Raw genomic sequence first — 23,447 nt, forward strand, 5'->3', positions numbered from 1 at the left:
TGGTGAGATCACAGGGAGATGCCTAGAAAGACGCCCATGCCCATCTTAGAGGACAAAGTCCATCAATGTCTCCTTCGATTTTCCTTAACGGTTATGTCTCCCATTTAATATCTTAAGAATTTTGGTTGCGTGTTTAAGGATGTCTGCAAGTCAACAAATATTTTAATTATGTCACTTATGAGCCTGGCTACAGGAGAGGAGAGCAGTTGCTGTCTCTTTCATGCTTTCCCTCTCATCAGCTGTCTTCATTTTAAGGACAATCACTTTAAAAGCTTGTATTCCTGTTTGTGTGTGTCTGTGGGAGGTTGGGGGGAGCTGCTGCATTGGTAAGAAAGCAGCTCCCCCAACAACTTTTTTTTTTTTTTTTTAAACTGCTCTGCATGATGGAAGCCAGCTTGGAGACATTGACATAAAAAGCACAAGCTACTTGAATATTTTTAAGAGACCAAGAAATAACAAGGGATTCAGGGAGTTATTTTGAGACAGTTTTTGGGAAATTTAATATAGGTGAAGAGTGAATTTTCATCAAACGATTAAAAAAAAGTGAAACAACCTTGGTTGCAGAATCTAGCAAGATGGTTATAGAAACAGATTTTTTTTTTCCAGCCATTTCCATTCTTTCTTTCCATTCTTCTGGTTCTCCCCTCACTTTTTTGTGTGTGACTCCCCTCACCCCGTCTCTCCCGCCCTGAACACCATTTATCTTAATAGTGTGTGTGTTTCCCATCTGTCTTTGTTACTGCCCTCATATGACTTTTCTTTTATGTGCTTCTGTTATTGTCTTCTTAGGAGCTTCCTAGCTTGGATTTAGAAGGTTCTCTTCCCTTAAATTAAGCCATCTGTCTTGCTTCAGTTCCCTTTTCGTAGTTTCCTTACTAGGTCTATTTTACATGGTTCGGTAGACAAGACCCAGCGGTAACTGTGAAGAAATGGTGGCATTATCATCTTTTTTAAAAAAGGAGGAGGGTGTCAGACATCGTGCTGTTGTGATTTTCATTTTGAAGCTTTGCTGGGTAGAACTAAAGTTCAGTTGATTGATCACCTATAGATTAGGTGTCTAGTGTTGAATTTGTTGCTTCTTAACTTGATTGTGCCGAGCACCTCATCCCTCAGCCATCCCAGTGGGTGCAGCCGATTCCGTCTTCCATAAGAAGTAGGTTCTCCTTTCATGAGTGCCTCCGGTTGGTGAGGGTTCCATGTGTAAGGAAGAAAATATGTTTTCAACACATTGCACGTTCATGCGTGTGGCTTCTCATTCATTTTAGATCGTATTAGTTATTAGACCTAGATTGGGAAGTAGAAACAATTTACTTGTGCAGGTACACGAATACCTTTTTAAATGTTAGTATTTTGAGAGACTTCATTGAGACCCGAACCCATGCCTATAAATTCGTGGTTCTCAGCTGGGGCAGTTTTGCCTAATCAAAGACATCTGTTTTCTTAGCTCAGAAGCCTTACGTTGGTGATTGTCTACAGAAGAAAATTTGTCTTTGTTGTTACTAAGGTTCATAGGATTCTAGGTTCAGCCTGATAATTTTTGAGCTGGTCACATATGTTAGCTTTTGAATGTTTAATTTCCTTCTTTGTATAGTTCTAAAATAAACTCCTCAGGGGAGAGAGACTAAAAATATCACAAATTAGACCTTACGAAGGGAAAAGGAAAGGGGAAATTCTAATCTGGCTGTTAGTCGCTGACTTCCAGTGTCTGCAAAGCTGCCTGTTACCTGGCCTAGCATATGACGTTGCTGTCTGAATGTTCTTTTTTTCTTTAAAACAGGCCCTTACTTGATCAAGTAGGATCAGCCTAGAGATGAAGAGAGCTGTCAGTTAGAAGTTCCCTTGGTCTTCTCACTGTCTGCTTTGTTTAAATTATTTCCTGTTCCATTATTCTTCCTTTTGACTTTGTTGTTTCTTACCCCTCTCTTCCTGTGCTGTTTCTAGGATAAACACGAAATCATCACTTTGCATAATTTTGAGCTTTCCTTGGTGGAGATAGTTAAAAGTACAATCAATCTTTCCCTTTCTTCAGTCATCCTATCTCATATGGACTGAGAAAGACCTGTGAGAAATTAATAGTAATTCTTTGCACAGACTGGAAAGTTCTGAAGTTGCAACTTTGGAACGATGTGTGTTTCTCTTATTACTTGCACACCTTGTATCATTTGATTCTAACTTTGTCAGGTAGAGGGAGGCCAGTGTTGTTAATTATCCCTTTTTTAGATGAGGAAAGTGTGGGTCCCTCACCAGGGCACACTGACTGGCCCACTGGGGTCCTGTGGTGAGTGGCCATGGGGGAATGTCAGGCCCAAGCAGTGTGGTATGTGGGATGGCCCAGCTCCAGAGCAGCAGGTCCTGGACTTCATTCTGGCTTTGTATTGATGTTATTGAAGTCCCCTCGTCCCTCAAAACATTTGCCTTCACGCAGTGACTGCTTGGCTTTCCATTACAATGGGAGCTGGATTCAAACAGTATCATTCTGAACTTTTTATTTTTTGAGACGGAGTTTCGCTCTTGTCACCCAGGCTGGAGTGCAATGGCACGATCTTGGCTCATCACAACCTCCCCCCTCCTGGGTTCAAGTGATTCTCCTGCGTCAGCCTCCCGAGTAGCTGGGATTACAGGCATACACCACCATGCCCGGCTGATTTTGTATTTTTAGTAGAGATGGGGTTTCTTCATGTTGGTCAGGTTGGTCTTGAACTCCTGACCTCGGGTGATCTGCCTGCCTCGGCCTCCCAGAGTGCTGGGATTACAAGTGTGAGCCACCGCGCCTGGCCCCATTCTGAACTTTATTAATGGCTCATGTAAATCTGAACTTCAACAATCTTGATTCTTACGAGGAATAGAGATGAGTCTCCTTTTCCTTTGCTACTAATTTGGCTAAAATTGCATAGCGAAGTTTTAAACTCTCCTGACCTCTGTTTTGTCTTCTGTGAAACTAGGGGTTGCCTGTAATGTACTTTCACAACCTTTTATAGCCCCAACTTTCGCTGTGTTAAAATTGAGATGGGACAGGTCCTTGATTATTAGGGATTTTTTTTTCTTCAAAGTGGCATGGGATGAACTGATCTATGTGTAAATTGATGTTGCTGTTGCTTTTCTCTGAGTGTAGTTAGGAGGGCTGGAAGTATATGGGTGCAGAGATGTAGAAAGGCTACGTTGTTCATCCTGCCACCGACAGGTCAGACTGTTCTCCTGGCTATGTTTTCACTCAGTTGTGTACCTGCAGTTCATACCTACATAGGACCAGCCATGGGCCAGGCACTGTGCTGGGTGCCGTGGGAAAACCACAGCAAACCAGACAAACACCAGCCTTTGGGGAGCCTGTAAACCAGTGTGGAGATCTTACAAGCTCACAGTCCACTGTAATCTTAATTAACAAGTATGGAAAATAACTTTCGCCATCTCTGGGTGGGGGAAGCACATATGGGAAGTCCCCCTCTAACCTCTAACCCAACCCCCAAGGCCAGGCAGAATTCATTTGAAGCATTCTGGAGGATAATATTTTCTTCAAGATCCTCAGAAGCTCTTCAGTGCACAGGCAACTCCCAGATACTGGAATTGTCACCTGAGCTGAGACATTCCACATGCCAGTTGTAAGCCAGGTCTCCACCACAGCTGGGGTGAAGCACCTCTATTCTCTCATGCCAGGGTGGGTGTTATTATTCCAGGGCCTGGATGAAGCTCAGTTAGTTTGCTTAGGATGAACACATGATTTGTGGGTCAATTTTCAGGTAATGTGAACTCTACTTACATGTTGTTTATTGCTTGAGAGCTTTATCTCTTAAAAATGAGTTAAACTACTTGGCGCTTTGAGTGGAATGCAGGTCTCAGGTAGCACACTAATACTTCCTTATTTTTTTTTAATTGATAATGGCATAAAGCCATTATGCCATCACATTTGATATAGAGATGTAAGTAATTGAATCACATTACTTCTCTTGGATTAGTAATGAATATTGCACATCAATCCTGTGCACACATTTTACAGGTTTGTTTTATCCTATTGATGGTTTCATTTGAACTGTGTTTGGAAATTTAGTTTATTTCTTACTCCATTGTAGATGTTTGTTTTTGTTGTTTTTGTTTTTTTTTTTTTTTGAGACAGAGTCTCGCTCTGTCACCCATGCTGGAGTGCAGTCGCTTGATCTCGGCTCACTGCAACCTCTGTCCCCGGGTTCAAGCAGTTCTTCTGCCTCAGCCTCTCGAGTAGCTGGTACTACAGGTGCGTACCACCATGCCCGGCTAATTTTCGTATTTTTAGTAGAGACGGGGTTTCACCATATTGGCCAGGCTGGTCTTGAACTCCTGACCTTGTGATCCACCCGCCTCAGCCTCCCAAAGTGCTGGGATGACAGGTTTGAGCCACTGAGCCCGTCCCGTTTTTGTATTTTTTAAATGCAGTGTTTGAAATTCTTGACTTCTACACAGTAGTCAAGACTGATACTTCTACCCAGTACCCAAATTACTGTACTGCTCTGACAGTAAGTTGTTACAAAACTATTTTCCAAAGGTTGGAACTGATTTCAGGGTTTACATTTAAGCTTTGTTTAACATCTGAAACTGAATTAATGCTAGCATTCAAAACTAGTAAAATCATTATTAGTGATTCGTCCTCTATTTGACACTGAACCAGCAGACATTTCCCTTAGCTTTTGGTGACATGGATTAAAGTAAAATGGTTTTGGTGATTTACTATAGTTAATTAGTGATAGACTATAATTAATGCTTAGTGTTTTGAATGAACTTAATTTGCAAATAATGATAATTTAAGATCTGAGTTTGATAAAATTTTAAAGGTTGATCGAATACCTAGATTCCTGGTTCTTGGGCCTTCAGAAGGAGAGAATTTCACGTGTTAAGTCCTTATTTGGTCTTATTCAAGGGAGCAAGATTTTTTGTTTGTTTATAAACACATGCAGTATATCGTTTTACGTATTCAAGTACACATAGTACGTTCTCTGGGGAAAGCAGAAAATTGTATTGCATTTCAGCCATGTAATACCCTCACGTTCGTGTATTAAGCTGATCAATAGGGGTATTTATTTCCTTTTGTTGAGCACAGTGTTTTAACGTTTCCAAAGTGTAATTTGTTATTGTTGAAAGTCAACCATGTTACCCTATGCATACAGGCTTTTATATAATAAAACATATGGTATATATTTTTAAGTAAGCGCTTAATTTTAGAATAGATTTTAAATTTACAGAAAAAGTTTCAAAGATAATACAGAGAATTCTGATATAAACTGTGTCTACTTTCCCCTGTGATTCACATCTTACGTTACTATAGTACATTGGTTACATCTAATGAACCAGTATTGGTACATTATTGTTAAGTCCATAGTTTATTTGCCCTGACATCCTTTTTCTGTCCCAGGATCCCATCCAGGGCACGTTTCCTTTAGTCTCCGTAGCGCCTCTGATCTGGGACAGTTTCTTAGACTCGCCTTGTTTTTAATGGCTTGACAGCTTTGAGGAGCAAAACTGCTTTTCAGGTGTTTTGTAGACTGTCCCTCAGTTGAGAGTTGTCAGATGTTTTTTCATGATTAGTGTAGAGTTACCGGTTTGGGGAGGAAGGCCACCGAGGTAATGTGCCATTTTGTATCAAGGGTCCATGTGATCAGCGTGGCTTATGATGGTTGATGTTGATCTTGATCACCTGGCCCAGGTAGTGTTTGTCAGGGGACTCCACTGTCAAGTGACTCCACTGTCAAGTGACTCTTTTCCCTTCTTTCCATACTGCTGCAGTCTTTGGAAGGAGGTCATTTAAGGAAGAGGGAGTTCAGCTGTACCTCCTGTAGGGGTTGTATTTACATTAGTTATTTAGAATTCTATCTGACAGATTTATCTATTCTCCCAAAAGGGACCAAGATTTTCAGTGGGGATAGAAGGCACTGTGGCACAGACAGCCCCTTGGCACTGTTGCGGAGGAGGTGATAGGATAGGATGGTGCCCCAGCATGGGGTTTCCAGAATGTGGTCCTGGGCTGTGGAGAAATGCAAATTCCGGGGAACTGCCTGACTTCCCGCGTGGGATAGGTTGGTCTGGAATTCTTCCTGTTGCACGAGTTCCCCAGGTGATTCTGATGCATATTCAAAGTTGAGAGCCTCTGCTGTGGATTAGCACTTGAACCCCAGGTGTGCCGGCCAGGAGTCAGGCCCTCACCTCCATCCTTGCCGTTCACACCTCTTCCCTGCTGGTGGCACCTAGCTCTAAGGCTCCCCGTGTAACCACTTCTCCCACAGTTTTGACCACCTCTTGGATCTCTCCATCTGAGGCTCCCTTTGTATCAACCAAGGGTCTTTGCTTTCTGGATAACTTCATCCTTCTTTTGGTGGGCCCAGAGTTCCAGTGAAGGGAGAAACCAGTTACAGCTGAGAACCCTATTGTGGAAAGGCCAGTCAGGGCCAGAGTAGGGAGGTCCCTAGATGCCAGGCTTCTCTGAAAATGGTTTTGTCACATGTGAGAGAGAGAGAGAGGCAGAGACACCGAGACCCCACGTGGACTGTGTTCAGGTTTGAGCAAATAAAAAATCACCGAAAAATCTTCATAGTTTCTACATGTGTCATGCCTTGCGCTTTGGGACACCCCTAGCTCTTGGGCACATTCCCTGGTTGAAGTGGGAGGGCAGTGGCCTGAAGAAGTTTCTTTGGGATTGGGATCTGGGTGGCCCTCATCCTGCTTCCGCCTGAGGAAGCCCTGGTCTGTGACTGGGCTCAGGAAGTGGTCCCGACCCAGTGTCTGAGGAAGGCATTCTCCTCTCATAGATGGGGGCCAGAGTCTGCTGTGAGGCCATGCTGGTGTGCCTGCCCGCCCACCCTACTGGGCCTCTTCTGGGCAGCAGGGTTGTGCCCTACCCGGGTGCTGGGAGGTTTGGGTGTGTATGGGAGCGGTGGTATGGACGGGGCAGGCGTTGGCTCAGAAGCTGGCGTGGGGAGGGTCTTGAAGTGGTCATTTTAACTCCTGGCTGACTGACTTCCAGAGAATCTTTTTTTGGGAGGGAGAAGAGTGGCTCACCTTTCTCTTGGGTACAGAAAAAGTCAGAATTAAGGCCATTAGCCTGTTTCTCTTTCTGGTCACTGCCTTCTCCCTCCTAGTGATGGGACGATTCCAGGCTTGGGTGGAAGGCCAGGTGGGGGGACACTACTTCCTGCTCCACCCTTCCCAAACCATTATACACAGATGAGAGAGACTCTGTTGTATTCATTCACATAGATATAATTTATAATAATGCATTTTGTTTATTAAAAAATGACTGGGCCAGGCAGAGTGGCTCATAGTGGCTCATGCCTGTAATCCCAGCACTTTGGGAGGCTCAGGTGGGAGGATTGCTTGAGCCCAGGAGTTCAAGACCAGCCTGGGCAACATGGCGAAACCCTGTCTCTACAAGAAATACAAAAAAATGAGCTGGGTATGGTGGCAAGTGCCTGTAGTCCCAGCTACTTAGGAGACTGAGGCAGGAGGATCACTTGAGCCTGGGAGGTCCAGGCTGCAGTGAGCCGTGATCAGGCCCCTGTACTCCAGCCTATATGACAGTGAGACCAAAAAAGACTGAATACAGACATGTGCGCTGACCCTTTTGAACATTATTTTCTTTTCAATCTCTGCCTCTGTGTTACAGTTTATGTTTTCTCTTTTGTCCTGCGGATTTTTGATACATTTTAAAAATATCTTGTCCTTTTTCTAAGTTTTTGCGTTGACTACAGTTGCAAGTGTGGGTTTTGGTGGCTTTCTGTAGATGAATCACTTGACCTGAAAACAAGGACTTTCGCTTTGCTAGAAAATTAAGGACAGAGTTTGTGGAATGCACTGCTCTTGGGTTTTCCTTAGAAGAAGCTTGTGAGAAGCACAGTTTCTGTGCGTAAGAGTGGGCTTAAACCAGGTGATCTCCGAAGATTTCCTTCAACTCTCAAGTTGAAAGAGGCCTTGCCGAGGAAACAGGCAGCTAATGGGCAGAGCATCAAACCAGGGGGGGTCTAGGTCCAGGCCCGGGCGCTTCCTGCTGTCAGACTGCCTCCTCACATCAGCAGGCATTCCTGGGATTCACAGCAACAAAAGAGCCCTCTGCTTTGAAAGGGGTTCAGTCTGTCTCTTCTGTAGTCTGGACTCTGGAATCTAGAGATTCGCTGAAGCTCATGTCCCAGGGTCTTGACGTAGTGTGAAGTTCTGAGTGATTTCCTAAAGACGGTGTCCTGAACCATGGGCCTGTGGTGGTGAGTGCATGGAGGATATCTGTGAACTTTGGGGTGGGAAAAAACATCCTTATTTCCACCAGCTTTTCACTGAAATTCAGTATTTCCTTCCTGCATGAATGTAGGTAGCACAGCCCATAGCATTTACAGTCATCAGAGAAATGGTCACTATTTTCCTGTTACATAATAGTGATGCACGTGTGTTGAAAGAGTGACTGCTTTTATCATTGCTCTCAAATTATGGTTGTTATTAGCACTGCTGCTACCCTCTCGTTTGGTGTGTTAATAAGGAAATACGTAGATTACTATGTCTCAAGTTTGTTTTTAAGTAATATATTAATAACTGTGTTCCACATAGTTGCATAAAATGAAAATCACTTAAAAGCAACCTGAGGCCAGGCGCAGTGGCTCACGCCTGTAATCCTAGCACTTTGGGAGGCCGACGTAGGCGGATTGCCTGAGCTCAGGAGTTCGAAACCAGCCTGGGCAACACAGTGAAACCCCGTCTCTACTAAAGAATACAAAAGAATTAGCCAGGCGTGGTGGTATGTGCCTGTAGTCCCAGCTACTCAGGAGGCTGAGTCAGGAGAATTGCTTGAACCCAGAAGGCAGAGGTTGCAGTGAGCCGAGATCATGCCACCGCACTCCAGCCTGGGCGACAGAACGAGACTCTTGTCTCCAAAAAAAACAAAACAAAAGCACCCTGAGGAGGAGTCCCTAGCCCTCACCATTCTGCCAAGGGGAGAGCGGGACCTCGCCAGGGACCAGGTGTCACTGCGTCCTCTGATGACCGAGCTGCTGGGACCGAGGCTGCTGGCCAGAGACAGTCTACACAGGCATTGCAGAAAAGTAGCTCAATTTTGCTGCCTAACAGAACTCTTTCCAGTCATGCAGTAACGACAAAACATGCCCCAAGTGGGTAAAATGAAAACCTGTTCTCAAAAGAGAATATAGAAAGAATTTTATTTAAATTGGATAAAAGCCTAGTTGTTGTTTTTATAAATTTTATTTAATTAAGTTGTCACAGTGGGAAATATTCAATTTGTTAGTTGAAAAAAATGTAAAATTGTGTTCTGGGATCTGTGATTATTTACTGTTACAGCAGTGGGGTTGGGGTTGGGTTGTGCATTGGGAACTTAGGGGTTTATAATAACTTCCAGTATCAGGACAGTGTAAATGACTTAAAATCTCTTGTGTGAAAAAGTTTGACTTTCTGATTCTCAGCCGTGTTGTGGCAAAATGGTCCCTGGAGTTTTTGACCCTGTGTTTAAAGAAATATGCTATAAAATAAAAAATAATTTGGAAGAAGAATTGGCTCAGACATTACTTTCATTGTGCCTTCTTGCATGTGGAACTATAAATACCAGCTGCTAGAAGTTCCCTTACGATGATGGACTGTGTGAAGGTACATTCTTAAAGTATTCATGTGTCAATAATAATAGCTGATATTTATTGAGCACTTAACGTGGCTGAGCATTTCATATGTGTTGCCTAATTTAGTCCTCTCTACAACCCCACGAGGCTGCCCTCAGCCCCGTTTAACAGATGAGGTAGCTGAGATGGAGAAGCTAAGCAATTTGTCCGAGTGCTAGTCCTGGCAGCTTCGCTTTGCAGAGCTTTCACGTGGGTGCATGCTGTTTGCACGCCTGTGCAATGATCCTTGGTGTGGGCCACAGCCTTGACCCTGCAGCACCTGCTGGCCTTCAGCACCTGTGGCACCACAGCCTTGACCCTTCAGCACCTTTGCATCCGCACCCTGCAGGTTAAGGAGAGCCTGTGGGCAGACATCCCACATTCTTAATTATTTTAGCCCCACAGCTCGAGTGGAAATGCTTCCTTCTGCAGGGCTGTCTGAGCTCCACATGTTTATCGCCGGCCACCCTCCTAGGACTGCATCCCTGCAGGAGCCTGCAGCCTGCTCTGCTTCGAGGCTCAGCCACAAAGCTGCCTCAAAACCTGATGGCCTGCCTCATCTGACTGAGACAGGTGAGCAGGAGGCAGAATGATACTGGTCACTTGGCTCTGGTCTTCCCAGGTGGGGTTTCAGCAGTACCAGGTAAAAAGATCTCAAAGTGCAAACCAAACACACAGCTGCTTTATGGAGACCTAGATTCCTGAGATGTATTTTTCTGGCATTGCTTTTTCTTGGTGTGAATTTACTTTTAAAGATAGAGATAATATACTGACTCTTAAGCATAGTTTTTGAAAAGCGAGATGCTTCCTGTAATCTCACCATCCTGAAAGAGAAACTTTTCATATTTGCAGCTCATCCTTGTAAGTATTTATAACTTTTGTATAATTTTCTATTCTTCTCACTCTGAATATTTTTTCCACTTTACTAGTTTTTCAAATCCTTTTTTTCCATGTTGTGTGATATCCCATGGAGTTGAAAGCGCCACACTTGCATAAGTAGTGTGCTCATTTGGACATCTAAATTTTTGCTCCTGTAGACAAGGTGCCTGTGTACGTCTCTGGGTATATTTCTCTTCTTCAGTGGAACCATTTTTTTTTTTTTAGTGTAAATTCCTTGGAGAGGCATTGCAGAGTTACATGGTATGGACATCTTTATGGCTCTTGATGCATCTTGCCATAACGCCCTTACAAAGGGTTATGCCAGTTTTCAGTAGTGTGGAAGTATCAATTTCACCCAAATAATACTGCTTTTGAAAGTCAGTGTAAATGGTCCCTCCATAAAGGCATTTTGGATTGATCTATTCTAGAGGACCGTGTCTCAGAGTGATGATAAAACAGTGTCACTGCTGTTTTGAAAACAAATTGACGAGAATTTGTACATACTGTGACTACCATGTCCTTTTAAAACAGGCTGACTTTAAAATGGCCCTTGAATTTCAGGGACTCTGCCAGTAGTGCTCACGGATTTAGCATTCCATCATGGTCATCCTGAGGCCGGCCCCACGGCCAGTTCTTGGCTTTTCCTTTCGAGCTGGTGGTCCCTTCTTTGAAGGGACTCCCTAATGGCAGATGGAACATTCTCAGCCATGGTATGACTTTTCCCTTTAAGGGTGACTTTAGTTTTTGTTAGACTGTTCTGTGGGGACTTGTTTGGGGCATGATGTCAGTGACAGGGCTGGATTATCGTATTTTTGGTCGCTGGCTAAAACAGAGACAGAGGTAGTGGGTAGTGGGTTTTTTTTTTAATTACTAATATGTTCCTTAAAGACATTTTCAGAAACAGTTGCAAATATTTTAGATTTTCACACCCGTAACAGGCAGATAGCCTCCCACAGATACAGCTTAGAATAGGGGGTGTGTGTGTGTGTGTGTGTGTGTGTGTGTCTGTGTGTGTGTGTGTAAGTCTGTGGAGGTATGTGTGTTAGCTGTCTTTCATTATATAAAAAATTAAGAGTCTAGGTAAGCCACACCCAAACTCCAGACCCACAGAGACAATAAATATGTGGGTGTAAGCTGCTGAATTTGCAGTGACTTGTTACATGGCAGCAGGTGACGCTTACACTGCACAGGTATGACCAGTTCCTGGTACTCTGGCCCAGACTTTGCTTCCTGCCAAGCAGGACTCCCTGACATTGCTACCATGGATAGTAGAAATCGCTTTATACTGTTCCCTTCAAGAGTGTTAAAGGAAACAAAAGAATGAGGGGAGGCGCAGGTGGGGCTGAGTGGGGAAGTGGGGCCTAGGAAGCACATTCTGGTAGCAGGAGAGCCCGGGAATGTGGGGACTTCCCACCTGGGAAAGTCTGTGTTCTGCATGGCTCTGGGAGGGCCTGGAAGGTGGGGAGAACCTGATGTATTTCTTTCTCCTTCTCTCACCTCTTTTAGGTTTTCTTTTTCTTCTTCTATTTAGGAATGGGGCCTTGCTCTGTTGCCCAGGCTGGAGTGCAGTGCCGCCATCATGGCTCACTGTGGCCTCGACCTCCTGAGCTCAAGCAATCCTCCCACCTCAGTCACCTGAGTAGCTGAGACTACAGGCATACACCAGCCCCAGTGAAGTTTTTAATTTTTGTTGTAGAGATGGAGTCTCACTGTGTTGCCTAGGCTGGTCTGAAACCCCTGGCCTTAAGGGATCCTCCCACCTCAGCCTCCCAAAATGTAGGGATTACAGACTTGAGCCACTGTGCCTGGCCTAGGTTTTCTTTTTCTCCACTGCTTTGTATCTGTTGACTTGTCACCTTTCAGGGTAGTCTGTGAGGGAGAATCCTGGCGGGGGCGGGGTCTGCAGGTGAACATCGAACCAGCCCTGGCTCTGTCCCCAGACCTTTCCTTTACTCGGCTATCCCTCCATCTTGTGGGCATGCAGGATTTTCGTTCCCTCCAAACTATTTCCATCTGTAGTGAGTAGTGTTAGTTTGACTTACAAATTAATATTTAAGCCATCAAATTAGTTTAGTAACTGGCTGGAGGCTTCTGGCTCCGTCTTCCTGCTGCCTGTGCAGTGTTGGTGAAACTCAGGAGTGAAGAGAAGATGTGAAGAGACACGCTTGGGAGGAACTCTTCTCACCTGAGGACACCTGCCCAGGTGTGTCACACCTACTCTTATGGTCAGCTACTCGTATGGTCAGCCAGGTTCAGGCCCACACACACCAGTGCTGGGTTCCTGGTGCCTGCTTATCTCTCTGGAGCCAGGGAGGCTCCGACCTGGAAGCCTGGACCCCCGTCTGTGTTTATCTCATAGATACCATTCCATATTCCCAGGTATATGCTTGTAATGTTATTCATGTCACACATACATGTCATGTCATTGAACCAAATGCAATTTGCTGTTAATGTAATACTGCTCGTGACGTGGCCTACTTGGATGTCTGATATGAGCTTAGAAGCCTAACAGGAAGTTCACCTGCAAAATTGGACCCTCCCTATTCCCTTGTTTCCACAATAACCTAGTTAGTATTTTGTGAAAGGTGTTCTTTATAAGTGTTACATTCTGGTGCACTGATGATACAGTAATTGATTTAGGAATATCTGTTACTCTTTGTGGTTACAGTAGAGGTTGGCAAAGTGGCCCATGGACCAAATCCAGTTCACCTGTTTGGGTGTGAATACAGTTTTATTAGAACCCAGCTGGGCTCATTCATTTCCACAGCATCTGTGGCTGCCCCATGTTGCAACAGCAGAATTGAGGAATTGTGACTATGTGGCCCACAAAGCCTGAAATATCAGGCCTTTTCCAGAAGAAGAACCGCAGCCCCTAGTGTGCAGCAAGGAACAGAAATCAGGAGAGCTGCATTGGAGTCCCTGCTTTGTCCCTTTATTGGCGCGAGGTTTGAGGTTTCCGTGCCCGCACCTGGGAAAGGAGGAGGAGGATACCCATTGTCTCAGGGGATTGCTAGCATGAAATTGTGGGACATACTGGGTGGTTCCCAGCACTTAATATGCACTTAATAAATACTAATTCCTTCCCTCTCTATTACTCACATCCCCGGCTCTCATCCTTAAGTAGTTGCTGTCTTTCTACATGTGAAAAATTTGAGACAAAAAAATGGACATCAGTACTTGTGTTTTCAGAAATGAAGACATCTCAAGCAGCACTGTCCAGCAGAAATAGAACATAAGCTGCCAGTGTGTGCTAGATGTGTAACTTCACCTCTCCCAGTAACCACATGAAAAAGGCTACAAATTTTAAGTCTTCTGTAGTCCAACATAACCAAAATATTTCAACATATACTCAAATAATTGCTAATGCCATTCATTTGCTTTCTTTGCCTGTCTGTAGAGTCCAGTGTGTGTTTGCCCTCACAGCAAGACATAGCTGGACTCACCACCCCTTGAGTGCTCAGTGGCCGCGTGTGGCCGGTGGCTGTGTTATCAAACAGGTCTCTGATTCTCTGACACCACCTAGGTGTCCCCTAATTTGGTTCAGTTCTGACACTAGCTTTTCAGGGTTCGTGCCGGCCTCACAAGTTTTGAGGGCTAAGTCCCACAAGACCATCCCCATTTCCGTCACCAGTTGCATGTCCTAAGCCACCTGTACTTCTGATCAACTGGCTGTAAATTGGGGTTCCCATGACCTCACTTCAGGTTCCATAATTTGCCAGGACAACTCACAGAACTCAGAAAGGCACTTTGCTTATTGTTAGTGGTTCCTATAAAGCTAGGTTGTCCAACCCGCGGTCCAGGATGGCTTTGAATACGGCCCAACACAAATACTTAAACTTTCTTAAAACATGATGAGTTTTTTTTGAAATTTTCTTTTTCTCATCAGCTGCAGTTAATGTTAGTGTATTTTATGTATGGCCCAAGATGATTCTTACAGTGTGTGTGGCCCAGGGAAGCCAAAAGATTGGACACCCCTGTTTTAAAGGATGCAACTTAGGAACAGCCCAAAGGAAGTGACACATGGGACGAGGGGTGGGAGTCCCCATGCCCCCTGGGGGAGACACCTCCTAGTGCACCATCCCAATGAGTTCATGACGTGGAGGCTCCCCACATCCCATTTTTCAAGAGTTTTTGCAGCCCAGTCTCCTGGCCCCCCACCCCTCCCAGAGGTTGGGGTGTAGGGGGTGCAGAAAGTTCCCACTCTCTAATCACACGTTTTGTCTTTCTGGCAATGACCAGCTCCCCTCCAGGCTATCTAGGGGCACCCCCCAACCCCACTGGTCACCTCATTAGCATAAGCTCAGGTGTGGTGCACTGGGGCTCTCTATGAATCACTAAGGGCACTCTTGTTGCTCAGTAAATACCAAGGGCTTTAGGAGCTCTATGCCAGAAACCAGGGACCAAGACCAGAGATCTTTTTTATTATCCACCTGGGCAGCCCTGTCAGCCTGCTGCCCCGCCCCACCCCTCCCCTCCCCATCCCCAGCTGGCTGCGCCCTATTTAAAGCCCTCCTCTCAGTAAAACAGCTGATGCGTGCCTATTTTACATTCTTTTCTACCCTGGGTCTGACGAATCATGACTCTCACTGTGCTGGTAACTCCCCCGTTCTTGCTTCTCAGGAAGCAAATGTAGGAAAAATATAGTAACATTTCTAAGGAAGCTTAGAGATACAAAATGTTTAAATGTAGCACAAAAATTGTGACTCTACTTATAATAACGTACAGAAGAATAACTCCACAGTAGAAGTTAGGCATCCATGGCTGCAGGTTTTCTAAGAAATGGGACGTGTGGGTGACCTACTGCACTGCCCACTGCCCTCTGGAGGGAACCATGGGGTAATTAGAGTCATTGGCCAAGAAGGGCCAGGGGTCCACGCAGCTTCCGCCCTGAGGAGTTGCACTGTGCAGTACAGCCAGGCGGCCACAGGAGCCACTGTGGCAGGGAATGCATGTGTCAGTGTGTCAGGCGTGGTCAGTAAAAGGAGTTGTAGAAGGTAAACCGGAGAAAAACTCAGATTTTAATCCCTCGGAGTAATCTTTGGCCTCTCCTCCTTCCGTGTGTGATGTTTCTTTGTTTTTAATTTTTTGACCTTCTGCTTTTTGATTCGGGATTTTGGAGCCAGAATGCCTTGGCCCCGCCATGAGGTCTGACTTGTGCTGGCTACTTTACCCTTGGTGCCTCCATTTCCTTCACTGGAAAATGGGTGATTGTGCAGAGTACAGTGAGTCAAACCATTGAGAGTGGTGCCTGGCACACAGCATTATTTAAGTATTTTTGCACTTAATTTCATGTAACATAAAGCACTAATAAGTAAAAAAAAAAAAAAAAAAGAAAAAGGTATATTGCAACAAGAAAAAGGATGGTGCTGTGGACATGGGGTGTGGTTGCTAAAGGAATTTCTAAGAATCAGACTTCAAAAAAATGTTAATATTCTGGACAGAATTCTTTTCTACAGAATTCTTTGAACTTTAAGAGCATGATTGAAATTTCTGTTACAGTGTGACTCCAGTTAGAGGTAAACTTAGTGGCTCTATCTAATGCTGAGATCTTTTTAAAGGATGATGTTTGCATCTGGCTTTGATCTTTTGAGAGGTAGATTTATGTGTCCTGATTAAAAAGTACAGTGCTTTTCTTACAACTAAGAAGGCCTGAAACTTACTGTAAGGTTGTGTGTGTGTATGCGAATGTGTGTTTACATAACTGATCATATTTAAAATCATTTTCTTAGAAGTAGAAGGCTATAGAATATCTGTCATTTTTAGAGTGTGTAGATATGCTCTAGAAACAGACCACTGATCTGTAAAATGATCAGGTCAGTGATTCGGATTTGATTCTTGTGTGAATCACAGAGTGCTATATTGCCTAGGATATGGATATCGATATTTAGTAATCTGAATTATTTTTCATTATTTTAAACTTAAAGATCTTTAACAGGTCAAGAAAAATAATACTTCTGAAAATGTATTTCTACCCCTTTAAAGTATTTCAGATCCAGGAAGTCATTTTGGGTTAAACAGTTTGGCATTTCAGTTTGCTTATCATTTCAATCTTCAGTGTTTGGCAATTCTGATGTTAATATCATGATTTCTTTTTGTTTGTTTGTTTGTTTTTGCTTTTGTTTTTGTTTTGAGACGGAGTCTCGCTCTGTCGCCCAGGCTGGAGTGCAGTGGTGCGATCTCAGCTCACTGCAAGCTCTGCCTCCCGGGTTCACGCCATTCTCCTGCCTCAGCCTCCCGAGTAGCTGGGACTACAGGCGCCCGCCACCATGCCCAGCTACTTTTTTGTATTTTTAGTAGAGACGGGGTTTCACTCTGTTAGCCAGGATGCTCTCGATCTCCTGACCTCGTGATCCGCCTGCCTTGGCCTCCCAAAGTGCTGGGATTACAGGCGTGAGCCACCGCGCCCCGCCCAATATCACTATTTCTATCCCCTTTTATATTTTCCATTCTGACTTTCTAGTAAAAAAACATGAGGGCTGGCGGGGTGGCTCACGTGTGTAATCCCAGCACTTTGGGAGGCTGAGGCAGGTGGATCACCTGAGGTCAGGAGTTCAAGACCAGCCTGACCAACATAGTGAATCCCCGTTTCTATTAAAAATATAAAAATTAGCTGGGTGTGGTGAGGGCGCCTGTAATCCCAGCTACTTGGGAGGCTGAGTCAGGAGAATCACTTGACCCGAGAGGTGAATGTTGCAGTAAGCCGAGATTGGGCCACTGTACTCCAGCCTGGGCGACAAGAGTGGAACTCCCTCTCAAAAACAGAAAGACCTAATTTAGACAAATATTTCAAGAAGTTTCCCATTGTTTCTAATCATGTCACTTAGGTAGAAAGTAATGTTCTTTTCTTATCAATAGAAGGCAGCTTTTTTAAAGCTGATGTTTCTCAAATAGAGGCTACTGAGATTTGCTTTGAGTTCATAAAGCTTTCTAGAAAAAGCATGTACCTGGGTTGACCGCTACTGGCAGCTTTTTCTAACCATTGTTTTCTTCTGTCTGAAGTAAAAACCCTCTGGTGTGAAAGCTGCCATTCCTTTGTGAGGCCTGCCCATCACTCAGATCTATATTTTTCTCCGCAGCTGTTCCCAGAAGCTTCCTCAGACTGACTTCCTCCCTCCCAGGGCTGTTCCAGGGCCTCATTTTCCACTCCCTCCCAGACACCCTTCAAAATTGGATATTGTCGTCAAAGTGTCCAGGAACTCTTCAGCTCTGAGTCTTTGAGAACTCAGCTTGTAAGCTGCGTCCTGCCTGTGGAACTGCCGATCCTGGCTCAGCCGAGGGCAGTGTCTGAAGGATGGCGGAGGGGGTAGCGTTTGCAGAGGCTGAGAATGCTGTGTTAGCAGTTTCCACCGGTGTCTTCCCAACAGCCTCTCGGAGCCTCCTGGGAACTCTTGATCTCTTTGGCCCTGAGTTTGAGAACCATAGATTTATTTAGACTGTTGATTTTTAACTTTCTCAAGGCTCAGCTCATTATTTGTTTATTCCCAAAGGAGAGCCTTCTGCCCCATGGAATAAACAGCACTAAGCATCCTTCCCATTTGCCTGTGTTTGGTCAGGATAAGAACCTAGAAAAAGGAAAATGTTCCTTTCTTTGTTCCCGGGGAATGTGGGCATAGTCCTGGGTTTCACTTTAGCCCACCTGATGTCCTGCCTTTTAGATAGCTGATCTAGCCTCACAGATGTGCTTCTCCAGAAGTGGCCGGATCTCTGGTCCTCCTCCCTCCGCAGCACTGGGGTCAGCCGCATGTTACTGATGCTGGGTTAAACATTGAGCCAGTACTTGCCTGTCACTGTTGGCTCAGCATGCAGTCATTATTGCAGAGGACATGGGAATAAGTCAATGACAAAAACACTGTGCTTCTGACTTCAGGGAGGCTCAGAGGCATTAGTGACCTCCTACTAGAGTTTTTCCCCGAAACTCTTCTTTCTGGAATTGACTTCTTCTCCCCTCCCATTTTCACAGTGAGTGCAGCTTCCTTTCATCTGGGAACCAGAGTCCTCCCTGTCCTTGCCCTGCATCTAGGTCTCCTGGTCCTTCCTTCACAGTGTGTTCCTGGCGACCTCCCACATCATCCCACGTGTCCACATTTTTTTTTTTTTTTTGAGATGGTCTCCCTTTGTTGCCCAGGCTGGAGTGCAGTGGTGTGATCATGGCTCACTGATGCCTTGAACTCCTGGATTCAAGCAATCCTCCTGCCTCTGCCTCCTTAGTAGCTGGGACTACAGGTGTGTAGCACCCCACTCAGCAAATTTTTTTTTTTTAATTTTTCTGTAGAGACAGGCCCTCACTGTGTTATCCAGGCTGGTCTGTAACTCCTGGCCTCAATCCATCCACCTGCCTCAGCCTCCCAAAGTGTTGGAATTACAGGCATGAGCCACCTACCATCTGGCCGTCACTCACCTTTTTGCCAGTGAGTGCCAAGGATATTTTTCTTTAAGAAACCAACATCAGCAATTGCAGTTGTTTCTCGAATCCTCTAACACTGGCTTAGTCCCCCTTGTCCCTCTCCTTTCCAGCCACCCGCTTGAGGCAGACCTGTCTTCTCGCCGTCTGGTACACGTGCCGGCCTCCATCAGTCCATGCACCTTTGCTCATGCTGGTTTTTCATCCCTGGAATGCCTCCTTGTTTCCCACATGCTCAGCTCAGGGCCATCACCACTGCACCTGGAACCTGCTGGGCAGGTAACTTCAGTGTCATAGAAAGACCCCATGGTGTCTGGCATCTGTGCTTCATACTTCATGTCTTTCCTTCCCCTTCCCCAGTCCTCTGTCAGCACCCAATACCATAGTATCCCTTTGACACTATGGTTCATTTCTTATATGCTAGAGCATCCTGGTTTATGGATATTTTTTCTTTGGAAGACTTGAAGCAGCAGTCACCCACTCAACAACTATTTGAGCACCTACTCTGAGCCAGGTGCTATTTCAGGCCCTGGTGATCCTGCGGTGGAAAAGGAGCACCCAAGTGCTTGCTCCCCTGAGCTTGTGTCTGGCAGGCTGCCTGGAGAATCGGTAGTGGTGTGGACTGTTGTCTTTTGTTCTTATGCAGTGTTTTGGGTAGTCCAGCAGTCTTTTCTTTAACTGTTTTTATTTGCCTTAAACAAGACAAAACCCTCTGTTTATAAGAAAGATGTCAGAGGTACCAAAATGAAGTGTGCATCTGGAAGTCCTCAGGTGGAAGATGTGGATTTTTCCAGCTATCTTTTTTTTTTTTTTTGAGACGGAGTCTCGCCCTGTTGCCCAGGCTGGAGTGCAGTGGCACAATCTTGGCTCACTGCAACCTCTGTCTCCCAGGTTCAAGCAATTCTCATGCCTCAGCTTCCAGAGTAGCTGAGACTACAGGCACGTGCCACCACACCCAGCTAATTTTTGTATTTTTAGTAGAGACAGGTTTTCACCATGTTGGCCAGGCTGGTCTCGAACTCCTGACCTCAAGTTATCCCCCCGCCTCAGTCCTCTAAAGTGCTGGGATTACAGGTGTGAGCCACTGTGCCCAGCCTCCAGCTATCTTAGTAACAGATGTTTTAGGTACCTGAGTCCTCCTCACAGTAGCTGAGCCCTTACAGCAAGCCTTAACTTGGCTGTGTGATGATGGTCTGACTGGTCTGACAGATGCTCAGTATTTTCTGTGTTGGCAAAAATAAAATTGATGTATTGGTCAGAATCTGGTGGCCCTCCCTGTGAATGGACCCCTTGGGCCCTGGTGTGTTGAGCCCCTGGAACAATGTATTTGGGTCCCAGAGTCAGATTTGATCGTCTCAATTTGGGCAGGTGTCCACTGCAGGTCTGGTCATGTGGCTGGGGAAGGCACACACACAACGAACTCTAGACCTGGCTGTTGGGGCCTGTCCACTCTGTGGTGCGGTAGGGAGAGGAGGTGTCAAGTTGTCTGGGGCCTGGATGACGAAATCTGTGTTCCACAAGTACACTCAATTTTTAACTCACGTTTATTTTGTAACTTTTGTGAAGCATTCATTGGACACTGAGTACTGGGTATCATCTATAAAGCCACTTTTCTTTTTGAGTTATGTGTTGAAAGAAATGTGGCTTAATGAGCCGTGTAGATGTACAGCTGAAAAAACGCTTTCTAAAATCATTACCAGTCCAGGCACCGGTGGCTTATGCCTGTAATCCCAGTGCAGGAGGATCAGTTGAGGCCAGGAGCCTGAGGCCAGCCTGGGCTGTATAGCAAGGCCCTGTCTCTACAATGATAATAATAATATAATAATAATAATAATTACCAGATGGATTCATGTAGAAATTGAGTCACACCATGGTGTCTGAATACCTTGTCATCTGATGTTAGCTAAACTTTAGTTTTTAAAAAATAGTAATAAGTGGTATTTGTTGAGGGGTGGTTTTTACGTGTTAGTCATGTTGTAAGTAATTTGCACTGTGTGTGGCATGTGGGTGCCTAATCAATGAGAATTTGCCTGTTTCTTTGTGGATTTTTAATTTTTCATGATGGGAAATTTCAAAATTTAAGAATCCTGAATCCTGGTGTGCCTGTCACTGGACATCAGTAGTTAACTCACCTCATTCCCTTCCCTGATCTCTGGGCTCCCTATTAGATTATTCAGATTCCAGGTAGATAGATAATTATTTTTAACCGAAATTTAGTTTTTAAAATTTAACTTCAGATTGATCTTGTTTGAACTTAATCATTTTTCCTCTGACTTGCTTATTTTTTTCAGTTGTCATTGTAGCACATTGATGTGTTCTTTCTTATCTCCTTTTGGGTTTTAAACATTATTTATGAATTTATGCCTTAACTTAAATTGTCTACAGCTTCTGCTGTAGACAAAGGAGCTGTTTGTTTCATGCAACCTTTCAAGTGAAGAATAATCAGCTAATTACAACTGTTTGAAAATTAGCTTCCTTTTTGTTTGTTTGTTTTTCCTTCCTACCCTGGGAGCCTGGCTGGCATCACTGGGAGCACCACACCTCCCGGTGTGGTGAGCTTGGGAGCTACCTTGATTCACTTGGATTCTTTTAATGTGTATTTGTGTTTTTGTGCACTAATCAGGCTCATTATTTTCTCATCTGTAAATGAGAAACTTGGAATAGCTGGTCATCAAAAAGTTCCTTTTTGATTTTGTGGTTACCAAAACCAAAACAAAGCACCACCACCAACAAAAAAAACAGTGCGAGGGATAATTGTTGACCGTCAGTTGCTTAGGGAGTTAATGACTTCCACCTGGGAAATAATTTGAAAAAATGTCCCCCTTGTATTTTGGTTTGGCCCAATTTGGTGTGGCCTGGAGCATGTCCCTTACTGCAGGCCACCTCTGGGGGTGTGGGTGCGGAGCAGGCCATGCCTGGCTGGGGACCTCCCCTAGGAATCTCAGTGCTCTGCCCTGCCATTCGCTCCCACTTCCTGTACGTTGCTACAGTGTCCTGGGTGGGGACACCCCAACTTCCGTCCCAGCGACAGAAACCGTACATCCTGGGTTTTCTGTAACACTCAGTTTCTTACCTTTTGCCCTTTATTTCTATAAGTCCTCCAAATATCTTAACATTTCAACATCTTCTGGAAGCAGCCAAAGCACGTTTGGGGGAGGGAGTTCAGAACCCCTGTCACCATGCATATACCAGGTGGGCCCATTTGACTGGGACAGGGTGGCCGCCCTCCAGGGTGTACAGTCACCCAGCTGTGGTTGGGGGCTGCTTCCTGTGCCATGCCATCTGCTAGCCTACCCACCCGTGGAGGGCTCCTGCATGCTGCCAGCCTTGGGTTGTCCCCTGGCCTGGCAGGGGACCTCTATGACATTTTGAGCATGATCAGAAAAAGGAACTTGTGGATTTTCTTTTAGGGTTAGCTGGTGAGCAGATGATGCCAGCTAGCAAGCCACCTTCCTCCTCCAGCCAGCCTCCCTCGTTTTAGCTCAGCCATCCCAGCAGGGCTGGACTTAGTCCAGGCTCCGGGCTCCCAGCTCCTGGCTGCAGGGATCTTTAGCAGTCGGACCACACGTGACTATTCGAGGGTACCATAGCCCTCTGGTTTCTTTCTGGTAGTCAGTACTGCTGACCTCACTTTTCAGATAATCTCTGCTCTCCTCTGGCCTTGGGGTTCTTCCTGACCCCTTGGAGCCTCTCTCAGTAAATGGAAACCTCCTAGGGGTTTCATATAGGCAGAATCTAGTATGGGGAGTGGCTTCACGAGAGTGTGAAGGGCTGGACAGCCAAAGGCATCTTCCCCAGAGATCAGAGACTAAGAAAGCTGCCGCTGTCCCTAGGTCTGAAGGGCAAAATGAGGCCTTGAGAGTTCCCAGAGCCTGAGAGCAGGTGCTCTCCTCACTGCTGCTGCCGCCGAGCAGGAATTCTGAGCCCACGGCCCTGCGGCTGTCACTGGGCACTCCACCGATGGCAGCTGGAACCTTCTACTCTCGTCACTGCTGCTTTAGGAACCTGCTGTCCCCATAGCCACGAGCCGGGGTGTTGCGGGGGGGCAACGCTTTGCCCTTCCTCCTGCCTTTTAATGTTGCACCTGGTTGTGTCTTTGACAGAACTTAACCAGAATCCAGCTGGCAAGGGTAGCTTTCAGGTACAGAGGAGGGCTGGGGCAGTCCTCACACCAGGAGGCCACATCTTGCACACAGACTCCTGAGAGTGTGGGTGGAATGAAATGACCCAGTGCTCACCACCTGGCACGGCGTGGGTGGAGAGTGGTAGGTGCTGTGCATTTTCTGTATGGATCAATGGAAATGGGATATTGATAATCATGCGGATTATACCCACACACCAAAATGGAAAAACAAAACAAATGAAAAGTTTAACATGACCTGCTTTGGCCAGTGGAAATGACTATAAATGACTTCAGTTGCAGCTGTTCTCCGGGTAACAGTCTGTGGACACCAATGCGCACAATTCCTATCAAGGTCCTGTGTGTAGAGCCACTGTGGACACTGTGGTTCTCTGGTGCATATGTTGTGGGTGGAGAAGCAGACCACTTGAAGCCCTGGTAG

General features: G+C 45.4%; 1 protein-coding gene across 9 annotated transcripts in view, besides 6 other annotated features; it reads left to right on the forward strand.

Moving 5' to 3' along the window:
• Positions 1-23,447, forward strand: part of NCK2 (NCK adaptor protein 2) — a 149,820-nt gene that overhangs the window by 9,875 nt on the left and 116,498 nt on the right. The window contains exon 1 of one of the 9 annotated variants that reach the window (XM_047446019.1): positions 2,028-10,178. The exons of 7 other annotated variants lie outside the window; for them this stretch is intronic. The gene's annotated coding sequence lies outside the window, so the exon portion shown is untranslated. Of the gene's footprint in view, positions 1-2,027; positions 10,179-18,813; positions 19,165-23,447 lie in introns of those variants that run through there. One more of the 9 variants, XM_017005104.2, reaches the window with a different exon arrangement.
• Positions 6,725-6,804: an enhancer, noted in NCBI's record as "active region_16320". NCBI's record gives its function as "activates an Ori minimal core promoter by ATAC-STARR-seq in GM12878 lymphoblastoid cells {active_cell/tissue: GM12878}" and the evidence as "EXISTENCE:reporter gene assay evidence [ECO:0000049][PMID:35858748]".
• Positions 7,696-8,541: an enhancer, noted in NCBI's record as "OCT4-NANOG-H3K27ac-H3K4me1 hESC enhancer chr2:106378480-106379325 (GRCh37/hg19 assembly coordinates)". NCBI's record gives its function as "activates a minimal SCP1, AML or CMV promoter by ChIP-STARR-seq in naive H9 embryonic stem cells {active_cell/tissue: H9 hESC(naive)}" and the evidence as "EXISTENCE:reporter gene assay evidence [ECO:0000049][PMID:30033119]".
• Positions 14,906-15,408: an enhancer, noted in NCBI's record as "H3K4me1 hESC enhancer chr2:106385690-106386192 (GRCh37/hg19 assembly coordinates)". NCBI's record gives its function as "activates a minimal SCP1, AML or CMV promoter by ChIP-STARR-seq in naive H9 embryonic stem cells {active_cell/tissue: H9 hESC(naive)}" and the evidence as "EXISTENCE:reporter gene assay evidence [ECO:0000049][PMID:30033119]".
• Positions 15,409-15,911: an enhancer, noted in NCBI's record as "H3K4me1 hESC enhancer chr2:106386193-106386695 (GRCh37/hg19 assembly coordinates)". NCBI's record gives its function as "activates a minimal SCP1, AML or CMV promoter by ChIP-STARR-seq in primed H9 embryonic stem cells {active_cell/tissue: H9 hESC(primed)}" and the evidence as "EXISTENCE:reporter gene assay evidence [ECO:0000049][PMID:30033119]".
• Positions 22,198-22,297: an enhancer, noted in NCBI's record as "active region_16321". NCBI's record gives its function as "activates an Ori minimal core promoter by ATAC-STARR-seq in GM12878 lymphoblastoid cells {active_cell/tissue: GM12878}" and the evidence as "EXISTENCE:reporter gene assay evidence [ECO:0000049][PMID:35858748]".
• Positions 22,358-22,467: an enhancer, noted in NCBI's record as "active region_16322". NCBI's record gives its function as "activates an Ori minimal core promoter by ATAC-STARR-seq in GM12878 lymphoblastoid cells {active_cell/tissue: GM12878}" and the evidence as "EXISTENCE:reporter gene assay evidence [ECO:0000049][PMID:35858748]".

This window comes from Homo sapiens, chromosome 2 (genome assembly GCF_000001405.40).
Source record: "Homo sapiens chromosome 2, GRCh38.p14 Primary Assembly".
NCBI lineage: Eukaryota > Metazoa > Chordata > Mammalia > Primates > Hominidae > Homo > Homo sapiens.